The 22,377-nt window shown below is 37.4% G+C and overlaps 1 protein-coding gene across 12 annotated transcripts in view; it reads left to right on the forward strand.

The window, feature by feature from the left end:
• Positions 1-20,498, forward strand: part of DYNC1I2 (dynein cytoplasmic 1 intermediate chain 2) — a 62,690-nt gene extending 42,192 nt beyond the window's left edge. For 8 of the 12 annotated variants that reach the window (NM_001378.3, NM_001271786.2, NM_001320882.2 and 5 more), the window contains 4 exons: positions 49-193; positions 14,389-14,529; positions 16,142-16,267; positions 18,116-20,498. In NM_001378.3, coding sequence (NP_001369.1) covers positions 49-193; positions 14,389-14,529; positions 16,142-16,267; positions 18,116-18,229 — 526 coding nt within the window. In that variant the 3' untranslated portion in view covers positions 18,230-20,498. The remainder of the gene's footprint in view (positions 1-48; positions 194-14,388; positions 14,530-16,141; positions 16,268-18,115) is intronic. The other 4 variants (NM_001271790.2, NM_001320884.2, NM_001378455.1 and 1 more) reach the window with 2 other exon arrangements.
• Positions 20,499-22,377: the final 1,879 nt, after the last annotated feature.

Genomic DNA, 22,377 nt, shown 5'->3' on the forward strand with positions numbered 1-22,377 from the left:
GTCTACTTATAGGAGACTTCTCTAACATTTTCACTTTTATGAAATTAGCAAAGCTGGAATCAGTGAGATGTTTGAGGGGCATCAAGGACCAATCACTGGCATCCATTGTCATGCAGCTGTTGGAGCAGTAGACTTCTCACATCTTTTTGTCACTTCATCGTTTGACTGGACAGTAAAGCTTTGGACAACTAAGGTATCTAAAATATAGATGTCTGCTATTTGCTCAGGTTTCTGACACAAGGTGGTGATCTAATACTACATAGGAATGATGAAAACCTTTTAAATCATAATTGTTTGCTAATAGATGAAGCCTGCTAGGAAGTTACACAGAGCATGAGTGAACTACTAGATGTTGTAATTTTTATAAAAATATGCTAACAAGTATGGTAACCCTACGCAGAATCAAGGACCAGTCTTCCCACCACTTCAGTCTTTTCGAGCATGTAACTGTTTACCCTGAACTGCACTGGGAAAAAAGCCCTGAGTATCTCGCATAGCACCTCATACAGTTGTCATTCAGCTCAGCACAAAAGCTATGCATTTGCTCTTTGGAGAGTTTTTAACAGGTTATTCATAACTACAGTGGCTCACAGAGTTGATGGGAAATAGGGAAAAGAGAGAGAGAAACTGATTTACAATAAGTCCTGTATAATATGGCTATATGTAGTAAACTGGAATCCTTAGGAAAGCATTGTGTAAAAGCATGGATGCATATATTTTTTGTTATTCTATGATAAGCAGTTTAAATCATTTATTTTGGTTTTAATAAACTTCAGTATTTTAAAAACCCATTCATGTGATAAAATGATTCTTGATCCTCCAGCAATTCCAGATAAATGTGACATTGTCTTGACCTGTTGAAAGTCTCAAGACAAATCCAAGTAGGCAACATTACCTCCTGTGATAGACTTGTAATTTCATTTAATCTCATTTTATAATTAAAGTGCCTTAACTTTGCTGTCTAGTTTTTCTGCGGTATTAACATTATTGCTGAGAAAATGCATACCCAGCATCTGATTCTATTTAAATTAAATTCTAAGGTGTTTTTTTTTCTGTTTCTATCTGCCTTATCCTAAATATTGACTTTTTAAATAATTCATCATGAGACAAAGTTTAGAGATCTTTGGTTCTTCAGTTTCTGTAAGAAAACCTAATGTAAGAGATGTTCTTCACTATTTTAGTGAACTCCTAGTTATTTATCAAGTGTTGGCCTTAGAAGTCTGGGATGAACTCATTATTCATTCTTGTCCTTTCTTGATGCCTCCTTTCTGTCTGATAATGAAACAGGTTAGAAAACTTTGCCTCTAAAAGCTTGCCTTTTAAAATTGAGCATTTTCAGGTTTGTCATTAGCAGATATAAAAATAGTGTTTACCTGAACTCTAATAAAGGAAACAGATGCTTAACACAGTGTCCAGCAAATAATAGGCACTTACCAATGTTTAGTTTCTCTTTTACCTCTTAATGGGGATCGGACAGAGCCTGAATACATTTAATAAGTCATCTCTTTCCTTTCTTGGATTGTTCTTGAATTTTTATTCTTCTAGTGAAATTTATACAGTGGGAAAAGGTAGAAGAAGATTCTCAAAGCTCACAAGCAAAGAAATGCGTAATCTAGCTAGCACAGGCTGAGCATCCCTAATCTGTAATGCTCCAGAATTCAAAACTCTTTGAGCGCAGGCATGACACTCAAAGGAAACATTCATTGGAGCATGGATTTTTGGATTAGAGATGTATAACCATAAGTATAACACAAATACAGCAGGTCATCAAATAGTGTGTTTTGTCATAAAATTGACAAGAAAAAACATTGGCCGGGCTCAGTGGCTCACTCCTGTAATCCCAGTGCTTTAGGAGGCCGAGGCAGAAGGATTACTTGAGCCCAGGAGTTCAAGACCAGTTTGGGTAACACAAGGAGACCCCATGTTTACAAAAAATTTAAAAATTAGCCATGCATGGTGGTGCGCACCTGTGGTCCTAGCTACTTGGGAGGCTGAGGTGGGAGGATTGCTCAACTGGCATGTCTAAATTGTCCCAGTCTGAATGAGTGTGGGTGTGTCTGAGTGTGCCCTGCGATAGAATAGCATCCTGTCCATGGTGGGTTCTTGTCTTGTGCTCTGACCAGCTGTGACCTTGAACTGGGAAAAGCAAGTTGGAAAATGAATGAATGAATACAAATTGTCGTAAAATAAAAATTTGTAAGATACATAGTAATCATACAAAGGCAAGACAGTTAAAGGATGCAGTATGAAACCGCTCAGTGAGCCTTCCGTCTTTGTCATTGTTTTAGAACTGCCTGGTGATAGGGTGTGCTCCTTACAATTTTCACTTTGCAAAACATTTATTCCTTGATTTAACCCACCACCTCTTCACCAAAAATTGGGTTAATAATTATCTTGTTTTTATGATTCTTTCTCAAATGTGACCGGGCAGGGTGGCTTACGCCTGTAATCTCAGCGCTTTGGGAGTCCAAGGCGGGTGGATCACCTGAGGTCAGGAGTTTGAGACCAGCCCAGCCAACATGGTGAAACCCCGTCTCACTGAAAATACAAAAATGAGCTGGGCATGGTAGCGGGCACCTGTATTCCTAGCTACTCGGGAGGCTGAGGCAGGAGAATCACTTGAACCCAGCAGGAGGTTGCAGCAAGCCGAGATTGTGCCATTGCACTACAGCCTGGGTGACGAGCAAAACTCCACCTGAAAAAGTAATGATAATCTTTCTAAATTGTATGTATAGCTCACATTTTATTTCAGTGCTTAATATTTGAAGTGTTTAGGGTCATTATTTAGAAATTTGATGATGTTTTTATCACCAGATAAATGCCACAGGGATTTAACTCTTGTTTGTATCAATTAGCCTGTGGTAAAACTGGTTTTGTTTTATGTTGTTTTGCTTAACGTCACAGTTTCCAAGAACCTATAAATGATGTTAAGTGAGGACTTACTGTATTCTAAAATCTGAAAAAGTCCAAAATCTCAAATGCTTCTGGTTCCAAGTATTTCAGATAAACCTATAAAACCAAAGCAAGATGCAGAATTGGTGAGATGAAGCCAACTATTTCTCCAAAGGCTTCATACAGCCATGTAAGTTGCTAGATTTTTAGATGTGCTTTCATCTTAGTAATCCCATGTATAGTCACAGGAGACACATTTTTGTTAGATTGTTGGCCAACTTCCTTTTCGGTAATTGAAAGTAATCTTTTTTTTAAAACTTTTATTTTACATTCGAAGGTACAGGTAAAGGATGTGTGGGTTTGTTATGCAGATTATTGTATCACCCAGGTATTAAGCCTACTATCCATTAGTTATTTTTCCTGAGCCTCTCCCTCCTCCCACGCTCACCCTTCGATAGGCCCCAGTATGAGTTGTTCTCCTCTATGTGTCTACATGTATGTTCATTGTTTAGCTCCCATTTATAAGTGAGAACATGTGGTATTTGGTTTTCTGTTCCTGCATTGGTTTGCTAAGGATAATGGCCTCCAGCTTCATCAGTGTCCCCACATAGGACATGATCTCATTCCTTCTTATGGCTTCGTAGTATTCTGTGGTGTATATGTACCACATTTTCTTTATCCCATCTACCATTAATTGGCATTTAGGCTGATTCCATGTCTTTGCTAGTGTCTTTATAATAGAGTGATTGATACTCCTTTGGGTATATACCCAGTAATGGGATTGCCTGGTCAAAAGGTATGTCTGTCTCTGGGTCTTTGAGGAATCACCACACTGTCTTCCATAATGGTTGATACTCCCACCAACAGTGTAAAAACGTTCCTTTTTCTCCACAACCTTGCCAGCATCTTTTTTTTTTTTTTTTTTTTTTTTTTTTTTGCTTTTTAATAATAGTCATTCTGACTGGTGTGAGATGGTATCTCATTGTGGTTTTGATTTGCATTTCTCTAATGATCAGTGATATATGTCTTCTTTTGAGAAATGTTTGTTCATGTCCTTTGCCCTCTTTCTAATGGGGTTGTTTTCTTGTAAATTTAAGTTCCTTATAGATGCCGGATATTAGATCTTCGTCAGATTCATAGATTGTAGAATTTTTCTCCCTTTCTGTAAGTTGTCTGTTTACTCAATAGTTTTTTTTGTTTTTTAGGGGTTTTTTTGTTTTTGTTTTTTGCTGTGTAGAAGCTCTTTAATTGGATCCCATTCGTCAAATTTTGCTTTTGTTGCAATTGCTTTGGGCCTCTTCATCATGAAATTTTTGCCCATGGCTATGTACTGAATGGTATTGTCTAGGTTTTCTTCTAAGTTTTTTGTAGTTTGGGGTTTTACATTTAAGTCTTTAATCCATCTTGAGTTAATTTTTGTATAAGATGTAAGGAAGGGGTCTAGTTTCAGTTTTCTACATATGGCTAGCCAGTTCTCCCAGCACCATTGTTAAACAGGGAATCTATTCCCCATTGCTTGTTTTTTTGTCAGGTTTGTCAAAGATGATGATTGTAGGTGTGCGGTCTTATTTCTGGGTTCCCTATTCTGTTCCCAGTCTGTGTGTGAAAGAATCTTTTATCTATTTCTAGTTTGTTTTTTACTCTCTCAGGGTGTCAGTTTGCCAGCATCCTTTGGCTTTAAATTTGAGGCTTCCATCCTTATATACGTTAATAATAGGATTTGAAAATAAAGAGTTCATCTTGACTAATCAAGGACAGAACTTATCTTGTGATAGCAGACTGATTGATACTTGCTTTTGTGGTACTACACAGCTAGTTGAGGGGCGGTTGATATTTTTATTCTTGTATTTTAATGTGTTTCAACATAGAAGTGCCTTCTGAATAAGAATGACAAGTGGGCATATCTCTTTCTTTGCCAATTAGGCTAGGCATTGCTTCCTTCCTTGGGCCTTATATAGAAGACTCATTTATTCATTCAATTGGGATACATGCCTCTCACCCTGCCCCCAACATCCCTCCAGTGTTACTGTACAAAGGATGGGCCACCATAGAACATGGTGTTTTTATAAATGCCTAAGGACCCTCTGAAACTTTATCAGAAGAATTACCCTTCATTCTAACTTTTCTGCACACAAGTAGTTCTACTCTGTGAAGGGTAGAGAAGAAACAGTCTGTTAAGTGAATACTTTTATATTTGGCCATACTGTGGCTCCAGTGTCAATTTACACTTCCTGGTTAATTGTGTTGCTGGTATTTATTTCTGCCCTGCTGAAAAACTGATAGAGCCTCTATGCTGTAATAATGACTGATGGGCAATGTTAATTAATAATGAATGGTAAAGAATAATAGGCAGTGTTTTTAAATAATCTCTCTTTAAACACCTTGTTCCAATTTCATTTTAAACTTTTAAACCAGAGTCTTCACACTCATGAATTTAACAGACTTTAAATGTTTTGCTTCTCTTCCTCTACTTTTTAAGTGCTCTTTGACTCCAGGAATTGAGTCCTCATAAATTGGAAGACTGAATCGTGAGATATTGCTGTACTTTTGTGTCCTTAAGATCTGGCTCTGCCCTGATAGCAAAACAAGATTTCTTCCTTTTCTCTCTTTCTATGATAAAAATCCCTGGGAATCTCAATTTGGCACAGCCTCAAATTTAGTTTAAAGCAATCTACTTCTACAGCTAGCCACTAATCTTCGCCTAGCCAGAGATTTATAATTCAGTCACATAGTTCTGGTTCATTGACTTGTTTTCATTACTTTATTGAACTCAACTATTTTTAAGACAGGCTGAGCACCCTAATCTGAAAATTCAAAGTCTGAAATGCTCCAGAATTCAAAACTTTTTGACCACTAATGTGACACTCAAAGGAAATGTTCATTGAAGCATTTCACATTTCATATTAGGAACGCTCAACCATAAGTATAATGCAGGTATTCAAAAATCCAAAAATATTTGAAATCTGAAACACTTCTGGTTCCAAGCATTTCTGATAAGGGATATTCAACCTGTATAGAAGACAAACAGATTATTTTCCGTGTATGGAAGTTTAAACCAGTAAAGACAGGGCTTCTAATATATTTAAAAGACTCTGTTGCCATCTCAAAATACCAAATTTTAAATTCACAACCGAAGCACTTTGGCAGGTCTGAAAAATGGCTGGGAGAATAAGGAGTGAAAGCTTCTGCAGGGTAACAAGGATTCTAGAAGAGTTTGATTATGGGTAGACCTGGTAGATTCACTAAATGTTCTACCACATTTAACCATACTTGTTACAGATTACTGTTAAAACATAAGAATTATTTACTTGGGACAAGATGGATTTTGAGATGTGTGCACAAATTCTTATCAGAACCATATTTACCATAAAATGACGAAGTTAAGATTGTTAATGTGGTAATTTCTTGGAAGGGGGAGTTTTCACACTTTTGTAGTCCATACACATCTTGAAATTATTCACACTTTCTGATAAGTCTTAGAACCCCTCCTTATATTAATAGCTTACTTAGTTAACTCTCAGAGGGCACCAGCATTAAAACAGGGTTAAAAGTTCATACTAGTCCTTAGAATAACAACTATGCATATTTAGACAAGTTAAGATGAAAAAATGCTTTGAAGTTGGGTGTTCTTAGGGAAGGCTGCCTATTCATCTGGACCGAGGCCTGCGCAGCAGCATTTGCCTCAGTAACTTGCTACTGGCCAATGTCCAGCCTCTCCTTTGCATATTCAGAAACTCAGTTTAATCAGTATACTAGAGTTGATTAGACAGGGAGTGCTAACCGGAACTAACAGGCTCCTAAGACACTGGTACATTGGAGAATGTCAATTTATTAATTTACAATGAAAAACATAACTGCCAGAAGGCCCAGATACTCCTGTGAGCCTGACCAGCTCATTGTTTCCCTGTAGACAATCCACATGGGAAGCCAAATTATAATCAGAAGATTGCTTGGTGAGTAAGGAGTTGGAACAAAAGAAGTTTTATAATTTGAATGTTTAATGGCACCAAGCTAAGATAGCCTGATTCATTCTAGCCTTGCCATGGGGTAGTAATTCTCAAAATCCATTGGTTGAGACTCCCTTTCTCCTGGACGATGCTTGAATGGGTACTGTCTTCATTTTCCTTGTAAGACTGTTTCTTTGTATTTCTATTTTAATAGACACATTTGGTCTCAAAAAGTTAATATATTCAGTCAAGTTATATAGAAAGATATTTCTGACCTTGGAATCCATTTCTTTGGAAGAGAATTCATTTATTTCTCTTCTGATCCAAATTGATGACATATTTATTTCCCAGTTCTCTAGGAAGCATCTCACTATTATCTTCACGTGTTTAATGTAGGGACTATCTTTGTTATTAATCTAGAACTCCCCGCTTACCCCAGCTTTGAAAAATAATCTATATTCTTTTCCCAAAGCTGCCATAACAAATTACCACAAACTGGGTGGCTTAAAATGACAGAAATTTATTCTTTCACATTTCTGGAGGCCAGAAGTCCAAAATCAAGGTGTTGACAGGCTAGTTACTTTTGGAGGTTCTGAAGGAGAATCTGTTTCTTGTCTCTCTCCCGGCTTCTGATGGTTGCCAGCAATCCTTGCTGTTTCATTGACTTGCAGCTACCATCATTCCAGCCTCTGCCTCTGTCATCAGATGGCATTCTACCTGTTTGTGTCCGAATTTTTCTCTTTTTTTAAGGATACCAATCATGCTAGATTTAGGACCTACCCTAATTCAATATGACCTCATCTTAACTTGATTACATCTGCAAAGGCCCTGTTTCCAAATAAGGTCACATTTACAGATACCAGGTAGACACGAATTTTGGGAAGACACTATTCAACTCAGCGTACAACCTTAAAGAGCTTAGGAAAAATATGGCTTGACTCGTGACCATACTCTGTTGCCCAGGCTGGAGCGCAGTGGGGTGATCTCGGTTCATTGCAACCTCCACCTCCCAGGTTCAAGCGATTATCATGCCCCAGCCTCCCAAACAGCTGGGATTATAGGCATGTGCCACCATGCCCAATTAATTTTTGCATTTTTAGTAGAGACAGGGTTTCACCATGCTTGGCCAGGCTGGTCTCAAACTCCTGGCCTCAAGTGATCTGCCTGCCTCGGGCTCCCAAAGTGGTTGGGTTATAGTGTGAGCCACCACACCCAGCCTTGTTTTTCTTTTTATTGTAATCTTTTACCCAGTTACAGTGCATCCTGTTTTTGTCTCTGGCTGCATATTCGTCCACTGAGTAGATGATTTTTTTTTTTTAACTTTTAGGTTCAGGGGTACGTTTGCAGGTTTGTTATATAGGTAAAATCATGTCACGGGGGTTTGTTGTACAGATTATTCCATCACCCAGGTGCTCAGCCTAGTAACCATTTCCTGATACATTTAGCAATCTTTTATATTATAAATACAAGTAAGTTTTAATCTAGTTTGCATGTAGCTTTTTTCATATTTTGTATCATATAAAAATGGAATCATAGAGTAGAAAATACTCAGCCAGGCGCAGTAGCTAACGACTGTAATTCCAGCACTTTGGGAGGCCGAGGCAGGCAGATCATCTGAGGTCAGGAGTTCGAGACCAGCTTGGCCAACGTGGTGAAACCCCATCTCTACTAAAAATACAAAAATTAGCTGGGCATGGTGGCACACACCTGTAATCCCAGCTACTCGGGAGGCTGAGGCAGGAGAATTGCCAGAACCCGAGAGGTGGAGGTTGCAGTGAGCTGAGATCGCACCATTGCACTCCAGCCTGGGAGACAAGAACGAAACTCCAGCTCAAAAGAAAAAAAAAAGAAAAAAAGATACTCATTTGTGTCTGGCTTCTTTTGCTCAACATTATGTTTGTGAGATTGATTCATATTTGTTAGTGTAGTTGTAGATTATTCATTCTCTCTGCTGTATACTATTCCATTATGTAAATATACCATAATTTATCCATTCTACTGCTGATGGTATTTGCATTAATTCCAGTTGAGGGCCATTACAAATAGTGTTGTGAGCATAATTGTAGATGTCTTTTGATGGCCATAAGCACTCATTTCTTTTGGGTATATACCTAGAGTGGAATTACTTGGTCTTTGATGGAAGACATAACATTGCCTAAAAATAAGCTGTTTTTGAAGAAGTACACTATCACCTCAGGAGTCAGAGGCCTTAGCACAGTGGTTCTTAATCATTGGTGTGCATCAGAATCACTAGTGGAGCAACAGCAGAGATACCGATGAAGTGCATCTGGAGTTGAGCCCTGCATTTGTATTTTTCAAAAGCTCTGCAGATGATTGTGCACATCCTAGGTTGAAAACCACCTTCTCGGCCAGGCATGGTGGCTCACGCCTGTAATCCCAGCACTTTGGGAGGCCAAGGCAGGTGGATCACCGGAGGTCAGGAGTTCGAGGCCAGCCTGGCCAACATGGTGAAACCCCATCTCTACTAAAAATACAAAATTAGCCATGTGTGGTGGTGCATGCCTGTAATCCCAGCTCCTCGGGAGGCAGAGGTTGCAGTGAGCCAAGATCACACCATTGCACTCTAGCCTGGGCAACAAGAGTGAAAAAAAAAAAAAAAAGAAAACCACCTTCTCAGAGTGAGACTTCATTTGGTGGTGTTATCAGGGAGAGTGACAGATAGTGATTGTAAAAGAAAAAGGCTTTTAATTTTTGTGTTTACCTTAGTTTTAAGTTTTATTAAAATTTTGGTTTTTAAATTAAAAACAAACATTTTGGCTATTAAAATGATCATGCTGTTGACATTTACTATCATATCTGAAAATTTTTAATTCACAATTTTAAAACATTTTATTATGGAAAATCTCAGATACAAAAGCAGAGGGAATAATATAATGAAGCCATTATTGTTCCCAGCTTCCATAGTTAACACATGACCAATCTTGTCTATACATAACCTCTGCAATATTAAAATCAAGCCTATACATACCATTTCAACTATAAATATTCATTATGTATTTCTAAAAAATAAAACCTCTTTAAAAAATACTACCATATCATTATTAAATGCCCCAAAATGAACATTGGCTCCTTATTTTCGTCAAATGGCCTATCAGTGTTCAATTTTTTTTTTCTTTTTACTATTTATTTGAAGCAGGATCCAAAGGAGGGCCATCCATTTGCGATTGACATATCTCTTTTTTTTTTTTTTTTTTTTTTTTTTTGAGACCGAATCTCACTCTGTTGCCCAGGCTGGAGTGCAGTGGCACGATCTTGGCTCACTGCAACCTCTGTCTCCTGGGTTCAAGTGATTCTTATGCCTCAGCCTCCTGAGTAGCTGGGATCACAGGCGCCCGCCACCATGCCTGGCTAATTTTTATATTTTTTGTAGAGACAGGGTTTCACCATGTTGGCCAGGCTGGTCTCAAACTCCTGGCCTCAAGTGATCCGCCTGCCTCAGCCCTCCTCGGCTTTCCAAAGTCCTGGGATTTTGAGCCACCAAGCCCAGCCACAATTGACATACCTTTTAAGTTCCTCTTTAAAGTAGGGCTTGCATCCCTCTTTTTTTTCTTGCTGTTTTATTCTTGAGGAAGAAACCAGGTTGGTGTCTGTCAAGTTGGTCCTGTAGGGTTTCTCAGTCTCGATTTTGCATTCCTGTGGTGTCATTCATATTAATGTGTGTGGTTGCAGATAGTTTATGTTTCTGTAATGAGACGTTTACCCTCATAAATGATTTGGTTATCCACCAGACCTTACGTTAACGTCTCTTCAGTCTTTTTGGTCATCTGAAGCTCATTCTATAGTACGTGATGCAGAAGGTGCCCACAGGTGCATTATTCCCATATTCCACAAAAGTACATGATTATGAAGATTAGTTTGATTGTTTATAAAATCCATGACTTACGTTTTCTTTCTTTGCATACCTTAGTTACTCTGTGGACTTCTGGAAAAAAGCATTGCTGTCACAAAATCTGATCACAATCTGATTTTCTTTTTCCTACTTGCGATTTGGTCTTTTTAAAAAATGTGGGTGATCAAATGATTTTTTCCCTTTTCTTTAGAGGGTCAGTGTTCCTAGATACACAGGATATCCTTTCAATATGTAGTTTCAAGCTGTCTTTCATTTTAGGAGAGTTCTTTTGAGTTGTTTTTGGTATTTGTTCTGTATTACTGCTTTGGTTTTCTTCTTCAGGACCTGCCATTGTAGATGTACTTTTGCTGATCTTCTTTATCACTTTTTTTTTTAGATCACCTTATCTCTTCTTTTAAAATAAGTTTCTTTTTAAGTAACAGTTTTATTGAGCAAAACCCTTATACCATGAAATTCACCCTTTTAAAGTATACAATTCAGTGGTTCTTAGTATATTCACAGAGGCACGCCTAATTGCCAGTATCTAATTTTAGAACATTTTCAAATTTTAGAAAGAAAAATTATGCCCATTAGCAGTCACTCCACATTCTCCCCTACCCCCACAGCTCCTGGAAACCACTAATCAATCTACTTTCTATCTCTTTGGGTCTGCCTGTTATGGACAGTTCATGGACATTTCATGGAATCTTGCAATTGTGTACTGGCTTCTCTCACTTTGCATAATGTTTTCAAGGGTCATCCTTCATATTGATACTTCTTGTATCAATGTATTGTTCCTTTTATAGCTGAATGATACCCCATTGTATAGATATACCACTTTTTGTTTATACATTCATCAGATGAACACTTCAGTTGCTTCTGCTTTTTGGCTATTATGAATCATGCTGCTGTGAATGTGCAAGTTTTTATTTCTCTCGGGTATATACCTAGGAGTGGGATTGTTGGGTCACATGGTAACTAATTAGCATTTTGAGGAGCTGCCAAACTGTTTTTCAAGTGGCAGCACCATTTTACATTCCCCAGCAAGGTATGAAGGTTCTGATTTCCTGTATCTTCACCAACATTTGTTACTTTTTTATACTAGCTATCCTAGTGGTATGAAGTGATACCTCATTGTGGTTTTGATTTGCATTCCTCTCACGACTAATGATGTTGAACATCTTTTCATGTACTTATAGGCTATTGTAAGCACTGTGGACACAGTGATGTATCAGATACATGGTTTGCAAATATTTTCTCCCATTGTGTAGGTTCTCTTTTCACTTTCTTGATATCATTTGAAGCCCAAAAGTATTTAATTTTGATGTAGCTCAGTTTACCTACTTTTTCTTTTATCATTGTGCTTTTGGCTTCTCAACTGAGAAATCATTGCTGAGTTCAAGGTCACAAAGATTTACTTGTATGCTTCCTTTAAGAGTTTCATAGTTTTGGCCAGGCACGGTGGCTCACGCTTGTAATCCTAGCACTTTGGGAGGCCGAGGTGGGTGGATCACCTGAGGTCAGGAGTTCAAGATCAGCCTGGCCAACATGGTGAAACCCCTTCTCTACTAAAAATACAAAAATTAGCTGAGCATGGTGGTGCACGCCTGTAATCCCAGCTACTTGGGAGGCTGAGGCAGGAGAATCGCATGAACCCAGTGAGCTGAGATCATGCCACTGCACTCCAACCTGGGCGACAGAGCGAGACGCGGTCTCAGAAAAAAAAAAAAAAAAAGTTTCATAGTTTTACTTTCCATTTAGATCTGTGATACATTTAATTTTTCTATATGATGTAAGGAAGGAGGGATCCAACTTTATTTTTTTTATTTTTTTATTTTTTGAGACAAGGTCTCACTCCCATCGCCTAGGCTGGAGTGCAGTGGTGTGATTTCAGCTCACTGCAGCCTCGACATCCTGGGCTCAAACCATCCACCCATCTCAGCCCCCAGGGTGGCTGAGACTATAGGTGCATGCCACCATGCTCAGCTAATTTTTGTATTTTTTGTGGAGATGGGGTTTTGCCATGTTGCCAAGCTGGTCTCAAACTCCTGAGCTCATGTGATCCACCCACCTTGGCTTCTCAAAGTGCTGGGATTACAGGCATGAGCCATGGCACCTGGGCCAGCTTTATTCTTTTGCATATGTATATCTAGTTTTCCCAGCACCATTTCTTGAAAAGACTATTCCTTTCCTATCTAATTTTCTTGACACCACAATAACTTTTATGGAATCTGACTGAGATCCTTTTCTTTGCTATTGTCTACTAGTGAAATGAATTTTTGTGTATTTTTAGGAGGGAGGGAATGGGCAAGGATAACTTTCCTAGTTCATTTTCTAGGTTAAAGCTGTCTCTTCTCTGGCTTTTGCAAAGTGAGAATACATGTACCTTGTGCTTTCTGAGATGTGCCTTTTCTGCTTCTCTCCACCACTTCTGTCTGAACTTACTGCTTTGTCTCTTTTGTCTGGCATTCTACAACTTGGATTCTACTCCCAGCAGTTTCTCTTCTGTGAGACTTTGTCTTGGAAAGGAACTTTGATTTGTTAATTTTGAGAGTTTATAGCACCCAGACTGTACCATGAGAACTTACTTATACTGCACTGTAGTCTGCTTGCATTTACAGTTGACCCTTGAATAATGCAGGGCTTAGGGGTGCCAACGCCTATCCCAGCAGTTCAAAATCCACATATAACTTCTGACTTCCAAAAAACTTAACTACTAATAGCCTACTACTGACCAGAAACCTTTCTGACAACATAAATTGTTGATTAACACATATTTTTTATGTTATATGTATTATATACTGTCATCTTAAGGGCAAGCTAAAGAAATGAAGATGTTAAGAAAATCATAAAGAAGAGAAAATATATTTACTATGCATTAAGTGGATGTGGATCATCATAAAGGTCTTCATCCTTATCATCTTCACAGTTGAGTAGGCTGAGGAGGAAAAGAAAGAGGAAGGGTTGGTTGTGCTGTCCCAGGGGTGGCAGAGGCAGAAGAAAATATGAGTATAAGTGGATCTCTGCAGTTCAAACCTATATGGTTCAAGGGTCAAATGTATTTATAAATGGAATTGTGCCAAACTGCCCCCTAGTTTTTGCTGCTGTTCTCAGATTAGCCCACCACACTGTCCAGTGAGCATCTGCTATGACTGTGAGGTTCTGTTCTCCACCTGTCAGAAGTTCTCGTGCCTTCCTTCATCTTCTTCCCACACAGATACTGATACCATGCAAGTCTTGTAGTTGTGAGAGGTTTGTTTCCACCTGATTTTATTTGGAAGTTTGTCTCCTGATTCTGCTGTAGATGCTGTCTGTGAATCTTTGCTCTTCCTGCCCTCATTGCTTTATCTGAGTTTATGGGGAGAACTAGAGGAGATTTAAAAAGTACACTGCTATTGCTGTTATCTTCCCAGAATCTTCTCATTGACAGATGTTCTTGAAGCATGTTCTATTTCTTTTTTTAAACAGTATGGCATCTACAAGTTAAAAAGAAAATGCAATCAATAGTTGATTCTTAGTTTACAATACCAGGTAATTCTGTAGTGAAACAAATTGTAGGAACTTTTTCTAGGCTGAGTTAAATATCATAAAATGTTATCATACCTGTTGAATGTATGTCATTTTTTTCCCAGTGATAAGTAGTTTAATGATTTGTATGTCATATATGGACTGTGCTAAGAATCAACTTTTCTCTTTCAGAATAACAAGCCTTTGTATTCATTTGAAGATAATGCAGACTATGTTTATGATGTTATGTGGTCACCTACCCACCCAGCCCTGTTTGCCTGTGTGGATGGCATGGGGAGATTGGATTTGTGGAATCTCAATAATGACACAGAGGTGAGCAGGAAAATAACAAAAATTGCATTGAAAAATAGAAAATTGGATATTTATTGAATAATTTGTGAAATTCCTTTTTTTCCAAAGAATGTAAAAGGGTTCTGTGATTGTAGATTCATCACAAAGAACTCAAATAAGCTTTGTACCCTAAATAATAAACAGCATGCTGCGAAGAACTAAAGGGAGAAATAATGTTGCCAGGAGCACTGGGGCATTTCCTTTTACTTCTGAAAAGCACTATCATGTCTCTAATGTCCTGGCAAAGTCTCATTCATAAGATAACTGGGATGTTTTTCATTCATAAGCTAGAAAGCAGATAGTTTCAGACTGTTGAAGTATGTTAACCTTAATTCTGAATTTCTAAATTATCTCTTAGCCTTGATAGCATTGTATATCATCCATAAACATTAATCTTAGCCTGATTTGTTTGAAGGAAGGAAAAATATATTTTGATTTTTGATGAGTTTTTTCTATGAAGGATTGAAAACAGAGTGTTACTATAAAATGAATATAGAAACTATCAGATTTCCTAATTGCTGTACTAAAATCACTTATTAGCCATTAAATTTAATTGCAACTCTTATTTATTTTTAGTCACATGTATTTTTACCAGCTTAGAGAAGCTTAAAAATGTTCTTAGAATTCTATTCTATATTGCTATTAGTAATATAATTAATATTAGCATTTCTGTCAATAACAATTGTTGAGAGAGTCAACTCAGATCTCCCACATCTCTTCCTAGTTAGCTAGAATGGTACCAATTCTGTTTTCTTAATTTGGATTTTAGTCTTAGAGATTTGAAGTTACAATTAAATGTGGATTGAAATTTAATATTTCTTTATAACAATTTTGGTATTCTGTGTATGGGGTTAAATTATTTGGGGATGACTAGTACAAATTAGAAGGATTTTTTTGTCAAATTTCAAAATTTTTTAAAAATTTTATCATACTTTTAGTCTGAATCCAAACACTGAATGTTTGCTCCATGTGTAGCAAATAAAACTCTTCTTCCTTAGCAAAGAAGAGGCACAGTCAGATTCCAGGGAGCTGGTGCCATTGTGTTGGTGCCATCATCCTGGCTATCTCCAGCTAGCTCATGGAACAAGAGGCTTTAGACAGACTCATACTGCACCTTCAGTATGAACCGTTTCTAGGAACACTGAGTCAAATACAGGTTTCAGCTGATAGAGATACATGCTGCACAAGTGATTCTTGTCCTTTACAACTGAACCATAATCTGCTTATGAGGGCTTTTGAAGTGTTTTCTTTTTAAATGGGTTTTGGCCATGTGTTTTCAAACAGCTTGACTTCTTAAAGACATTAAAACAACAAAAAAGGATTCTTTATTCAAGAGAAGACCTTTCAAAATAATGTGTCTAGTCTTCTGAGAATTTTTTATACAAAGACTTATTTTCCCAAACCATTTTCAAGGATCGACTATAATGTCATTCATAATATATCACTGAAGAAGAAGAAAGTTGGGGAAATTCTTACCTGTTTTCATCTTTGTTTTTAAAAATGTAGCCAGCTTGAGAGAAGAATTACTGTTTTACATGTTTATAGAAATCTTGATGAAACTTTTAACACTGTCCTTTATTTTAAATGACTTTAGGTACCAACTGCCAGCATTTCTGTGGAGGGTAATCCTGCTCTTAATCGTGTGAGATGGACCCATTCTGGCAGAGAGATTGCTGTGGGTGATTCTGAAGGACAGATTGTTATATACGATGTGGGAGAGGTATGGGACTCCCTGCCTGTAATTTTGACACATCGATTTAGTTGCATTGTAGTAAAGGCATCTTTGTGGCTAACCCTAGGCTTTGAGGTTTATGAGTTGTTTAAACTATATGGTTGTAAAGATAAAACTTACTTTCTACCACAGAAGCAGCTCTTGAAACATTTTCTTTCTAAACCGAATGTTCTGTTTCCCATGCAACAGATTTTGAGGGTAATACAATAAATACATTGAAAATACCTTGTTTCTTGAAGCATGCATTGCTGGAAATTAGAAATTCTTTGGGGAGAAGTTTGGAGTTATAGGTGGACTTTGGGGTTTTATTGATATTGAAATAAGATTTATTTTTCTGTATTCATTAATTTGGGCCAGGTAGTAGAAACCAAAAGTAGTATCTTTTGAGAACCATCTGTGACTTTATGCAATGTGCATCTTGACTCTTAAGCCTTGATGCAAAGCCACAGTAATGGAATCCAATAGGATGAGCTGCAGCTCTCTCATCTTTGCTGCTCTGATTGGCTGAACACAAAGCCCAGGATGGATTTCCTCTTTTTTAACCCTGGCTAGGGGTTAAAAAAGTGACCTTAGTCACTTTCCTTTGCTATGCCTCATGATTTCTCTCCTCTCTGGATATCCCATGGCCTCTAGCAATTGGATCTGGTGGGAGGTAGATTTAATCATTTACAGCAGCCAATTAAACTATCTGCACAAATGGAAATGTTCTGTACCTGCACTAATATGGTAGCTTCTAGCCACATATGGCTATTGAACACTCTAAGTGTTGCTACTACAACTGCGTAACTGAATTTTTAATTTTAATTAATTTTAATATACACAGTCACATGTGGCCAGTAGCTACCCTACTGGATAGTGTAGATTTATAAACAGGCACAGCCATTTGCCACAGTGAGTGGTTTGTGCCCTAACATGACAGTGTCAGACTCCTATGATATTATAATGGCAGTTATCAAAAATATTTGTTATTGGGGCCGGGCGCAGTGGCTCACACCTGTAATCCCAGCACTTTGGGAGGATGAGGCGGGTGGATCACCTGAGGTCAGGAGTTCGAGACCAGCCTGGCCAACATGGCAAAACCCCATCTCTACTGAAAATACAAAAATTAGCCAGGCATGGTGGCACATACCTGTAATCCCAGCTACTGGGGAGGCTGAGGCAGGAGAATCACTTGAACCTGGGAGGCAGAGGTTACAGTGAGCCAAGATAGTGCCACTGCACTCCAGCCTGGGCAACAGAGTGGGACTGTCTCAAAAAAAAAAAAAAATTATATATATATATATATATATATATGTTATTGGGCTGCCTCTGAAGTAAAGCATCACAAGGCTCTTTTGCCACCAGTGCAGCACTAAAGTGGTAAATAGTAGCACAGCTTTTGATGAAGGAGTTAAGGTATCAAGAAAGATTACCTTATGTTCCAAAGAAAAATACTTACAAGAAACGAGCCCCCTTATGAACCATGCTTCAAACACTGTTTCTTACTAGGAATTTTGCAAGAATACAGTAAAAAAAAAATTTTAAGGAATTCCTCTCCAGCAAAATCCATGAGATGGTGCATAGGAGTTATATTTACAAAGCATCATTGTTATTCTCTCTTGCATTGGTGGTGATAATAGCCAAGTCATTTCTGAGGCTGTCACAACACACTTCACAAACACCGTCTTTTGTTTTGAAATGTTGTAAATCATTGTTATAGTCCCCGTAATTATGGAAAGGCCATTCAGGTCAATTATTACTTTTTAACAGAAAAATTATTTGAAAACAAACTGAATAATAGTGGGTAAAATGATCTTTTATTTCATTGTATATAAAACATTGTCTTTCTTTTAACAGCAGATTGCTGTTCCCCGCAATGATGAATGGGCACGGTTTGGCCGAACACTTGCAGAAATTAATGCAAACCGAGCTGATGCAGAGGAGGAAGCAGCTACCCGAATACCTGCTTAGTTCCTGAAAAGGGGAGTGTAACTAGTGGATTTGGGAAAGGTTCTTAAGTAGATCCTGAGACTATTTGCATGCTTCTGTCTAAATGATAATTAAAAGGAAATTTCATGGATTAAACCATGGGTTTAATGCAGCAAGGAAACTTACAATGTCCCTTTATATATAACATGCATCTTGTTTTGGATTTGTGTCATTTTTTAATATAGCTGATTGACTTCACAGAAAGCAGCTTTTTTGAATTCTAATACATAGGTGTATATTTGGTATTAGTTATTTTGAGTTCTTTTCAACTTATAACACTGTATACAGTTATTTCTAAAGCACAGATGAAATAAGTTCTGCATATTTTTAAATAATCACAGTTCCCTGTTATACAGATAATGTTCTCACTACCCATAATATGTAGGAACATTGTTTCTCCTTAGCCGTAGTATGCATACACCTATCCATGTTCATTCTGACATCCTTTGTTGTCTTTATAATTCATGTGGTAGTTACCTATAAATAAAAACAAATATGCGTTAACTTTTCAAATTTTCATTTTTACTCCTTACAACTTGAATTTTTCCATCTTTTATAAAATATATTTTTTCCATATCTTTCTTTAAGCTCCTGCTGTGAGCAGCCATCTCAAATCCTATAGAGCTGTGTACCCTAAATATACCATGTGGTATATACTATAGATCTCCCAGTGCATTATGAATTGATGTCTAGATAATCTGTTGGTGAAAAAATTTCCCCTAGGTTAACTTTTGCTTTACTACTTTATATTCTTTCCATCTAAGACATATTTCCTTTAAAGGATAAATAGAAAGCTGCCTATAATTTTCACTGATTAAGAACTATGTATGTGACCTCACTGAGAGTAAAATCTTTGAGAGAAATTGATTTCATGATTTCAGTAGCCATAAAGGCAAAGTGCTCAAATGGACCCATACTTTGGCATTAAAATCTACATCTTGAGATCTGTTGCCACAGCATTGTCTACAAGTCCGAAAGGTAGGTGACAAATATCTAAGAATCAGTATTGAAATCAGTGAATTTCAGGAATAGAGGAAAGGACTATGATCAGATCTTGATTTTATCTACTTTAAATTGTCTATTTATTTGATCCCAACCTTTTGTACTTCTGAAGTGTAACTGTCTTTTATTCAACAGAACATGAACTAGGAAGAGAGATTAGAAAACAGAATGTGAACATTTTTCTTTTAATAATTGTAACAAAGATTTGTTGGGAGAGAAATTTCCAAATAATGAGTAGTGTATAGTGTAAGGAATAATTGACCTGGAATTATTGGCCCCAAACTCTGATTCTTGCTGAAGCATCTATGAGAAGTGTGATTTTAGCCAAGTCTGTGCCGCATTCTTTATATGTAGGAATTAAGTTTTGATTTAATGATTTCTGAATTTTCTTTCAGCTCTACTCAATTAAGGGGTATCAGTATGTGAAATGGAATATAGAAAAGTAGGCAATTCTTTACTTTTCTATATTCAGTTTCATAAATTAATACCCCATAATTGCCCATTATATACCAAAGACAATATCTCAAGTTATCTCATTGTAGCAGTGTCTGTGAGTCAAAACTTCAATTTTAGTAGAGTCACACTTTCTTTATATAGAAAAATTCATGTACTCACTACTCATGTAGTTACTGTATCTTTACCTTCAGTTTGTAAAAATGACTAAAAGTAGGGAAAACAAGTGTTAAAACATAATGGATAAGAAAAGGTTGGAAATCATATGGCAAATCACATGTTCCTCAGCCTCAAGGTGTGTTTAGTTGTGAAAGAAAGAATAAAATTGTTTAAATATTTCACTTTTTGGGAATGACTTCTCCCCTACTCCCCCAGAAAATGCGATGTATACCTTTGCCCATTCAACTTTAGTCCATATTTTTAGGAACACACAAATTTACTTTAAGGAATTACCTTTAAAGTTGACTATATAATAGCAAAAGAGAAAGTATTGAGACTGTCAGTGTTGATAAAGCTTCTAGCAAGATTAGGTTGACTAGAAGTGCATCACAGTTCTTTATACTTTTAGAACTAAAAGCCTTATAATTTTGAAAAATATCCAGTTACAGAAATTGTACCTTATCAGTTATACTTTTTTTCTGAGTAAGAAAACAAGCTATAGCTTTCTGGTTAATTTCTTATTTTTCGTTGTTTGGTTTTTGTCTTTTTGAGTGGAACGTTAAAGTTTATTACCTTCATGTTAAGGAATATCCAGCTTCACAGACAATTAACTTGCAATAAATCTCTGAAATAATCATTTTTTGGTATTATTTAAACCAAATATGCATTGGTAGAAGCTTTCTTCCTGTTTACAGATCCAGCTCCCTATAAAGTTTAGAAAATCTCTTTGTATAAAATGTTGTTACAATAATGCTGAAATACTGCATCTCAAAGGAATGGATGACTTAAAATTTAGTGGGAGGAACTATAGGAAAGTCGTTTTAGGAATGATTGGTCCTAGTCTTTCAGTGTTGTTAAAATGTTTTAGTCTGTTCTGTACTAGTGTGGATAGACTAATATCCACCCCTTGAACCATACAGAAAGACTTGAATGGATGAGTGAAAATCTGCTGTGAAGCATATCATACTATCTTTGCTTTATATTGAGTAGTGCATTACTTTTAAGTCAGAAAGCCAGTAGGTTTTTTTGTTTGTTTGTTTTTCCCTAAAGCGCTGCCATAAATTTCAGTGGTCACCTGCCACTCACTGGGCGGTGTATTTTTAAATGTCTTTTCCACAACCCCAGTATTTCAACATTGACATTCTAATAGTTTTCTAAATGAGAAAGCTGTATAATTAAATGTATGCTAAAGAGAATGGAGCTCCAAATGCAGCTCCAGATGCTGCTTATCATCTAGGATGCTGGTGTCATGTCTTAGTCTTCAGGATAAGCCAAGGTTAAAAAGCCAACAGCTTTACTTCTTGATGACTTAGTAATGGGGTTCCCATTGAGTTTTGTTTTTAATCCAAGCTACACAGCAACAAGAAAGGAGATCTTGCTTTCCTTAGGCTACCATCTTGCTGATTGCTAGCCCAGCAGTCCCCAACCTTTTTGGCACCAGCCATCATCTGTTTGTTTCATGGCAGACAATTTTTCCACGGACCAGGGAGGTTGGGGAGATGGTTTCAGGATCAAACTGTTCCACCTCAGATCATCATCAGACATTATTAGATTCTCATAAGGAAGGAGCACACACAACCTAGATCCCTCACATGTGCAGTTCACATTATTAGGGTTTGCGCTCCTCTGAGAATCTAATACCGTCACTTGCTGATCTGACAGGACGGGGAGCTCAGGTGGTATTGCTCATTCGCCTGCCCGCCCGCCTGCCTGCCGCTCACCTTCTGTTATACAGCCTGCCATGGACCACTACTGGTTCTGGTTTGCGGCCCAGGGGTTGGGGCCCCCTGTGCTAGGCAACTTAGAGACCTTACAGGTTTGAGGAAAAGTCACTCCCAACTAGGAACTTATCATTTACTAATTAAAAATTATTGATGCTGTGAAATTATTTACTTAGAGATCTGGCTTACAAATCTAGGGGTTCCTAATGCTGTCAGAGAATTAGAAATTGCCCCAAAGGCAGTATTAAGAGAACAGCCATTTTCAGTATTTCTTTTGAAGGGGAAGATTACAATTAGGAACCTTCTTTTAACCAGTTTTTTCAAAAGTTTTACAGCCCCCAAATGGTAGTAATTTGCTTGTATTGTATTATATTTTGTAAATCCTTTTTCATAAATAGGAAACATGTTATGGAGTCCATCTTAGAGAAAAATCCTACACTGATAACCAGAATACCAACTATAAAACTTGGAATCCATCACACTGGAATGCTTTTCACAATAGGCCAGTTCTCTCATTCCTTTTGTTGGACTTTAGGTATTTAGATTGTCTTTCTGCCTGCCATGTTCACAATTCCCAAACTTCTAAAAGTTCAAATGGATAGCAGGAATTTAAGTTTTCAGTATGTAGCTTTTAGCCACTGATAGTTTCCACATAGCCAATCAGCAGTCTTTTACAAACTTTTATAAAATTATGGTATTTTGTGTTGTTAGTTTCATAGCAGGAATCCCAGTTTTGGCTTCTTAATATTCCATTACCAGTTCCCAGTCAGAGGATGGAACAGCTTGCACTCAGGT

The sequence above is a fragment of the Homo sapiens genome, chromosome 2 (assembly GCF_000001405.40).
Source record: "Homo sapiens chromosome 2, GRCh38.p14 Primary Assembly".
Classification (NCBI taxonomy): Eukaryota; Metazoa; Chordata; class Mammalia; order Primates; family Hominidae; genus Homo; species Homo sapiens.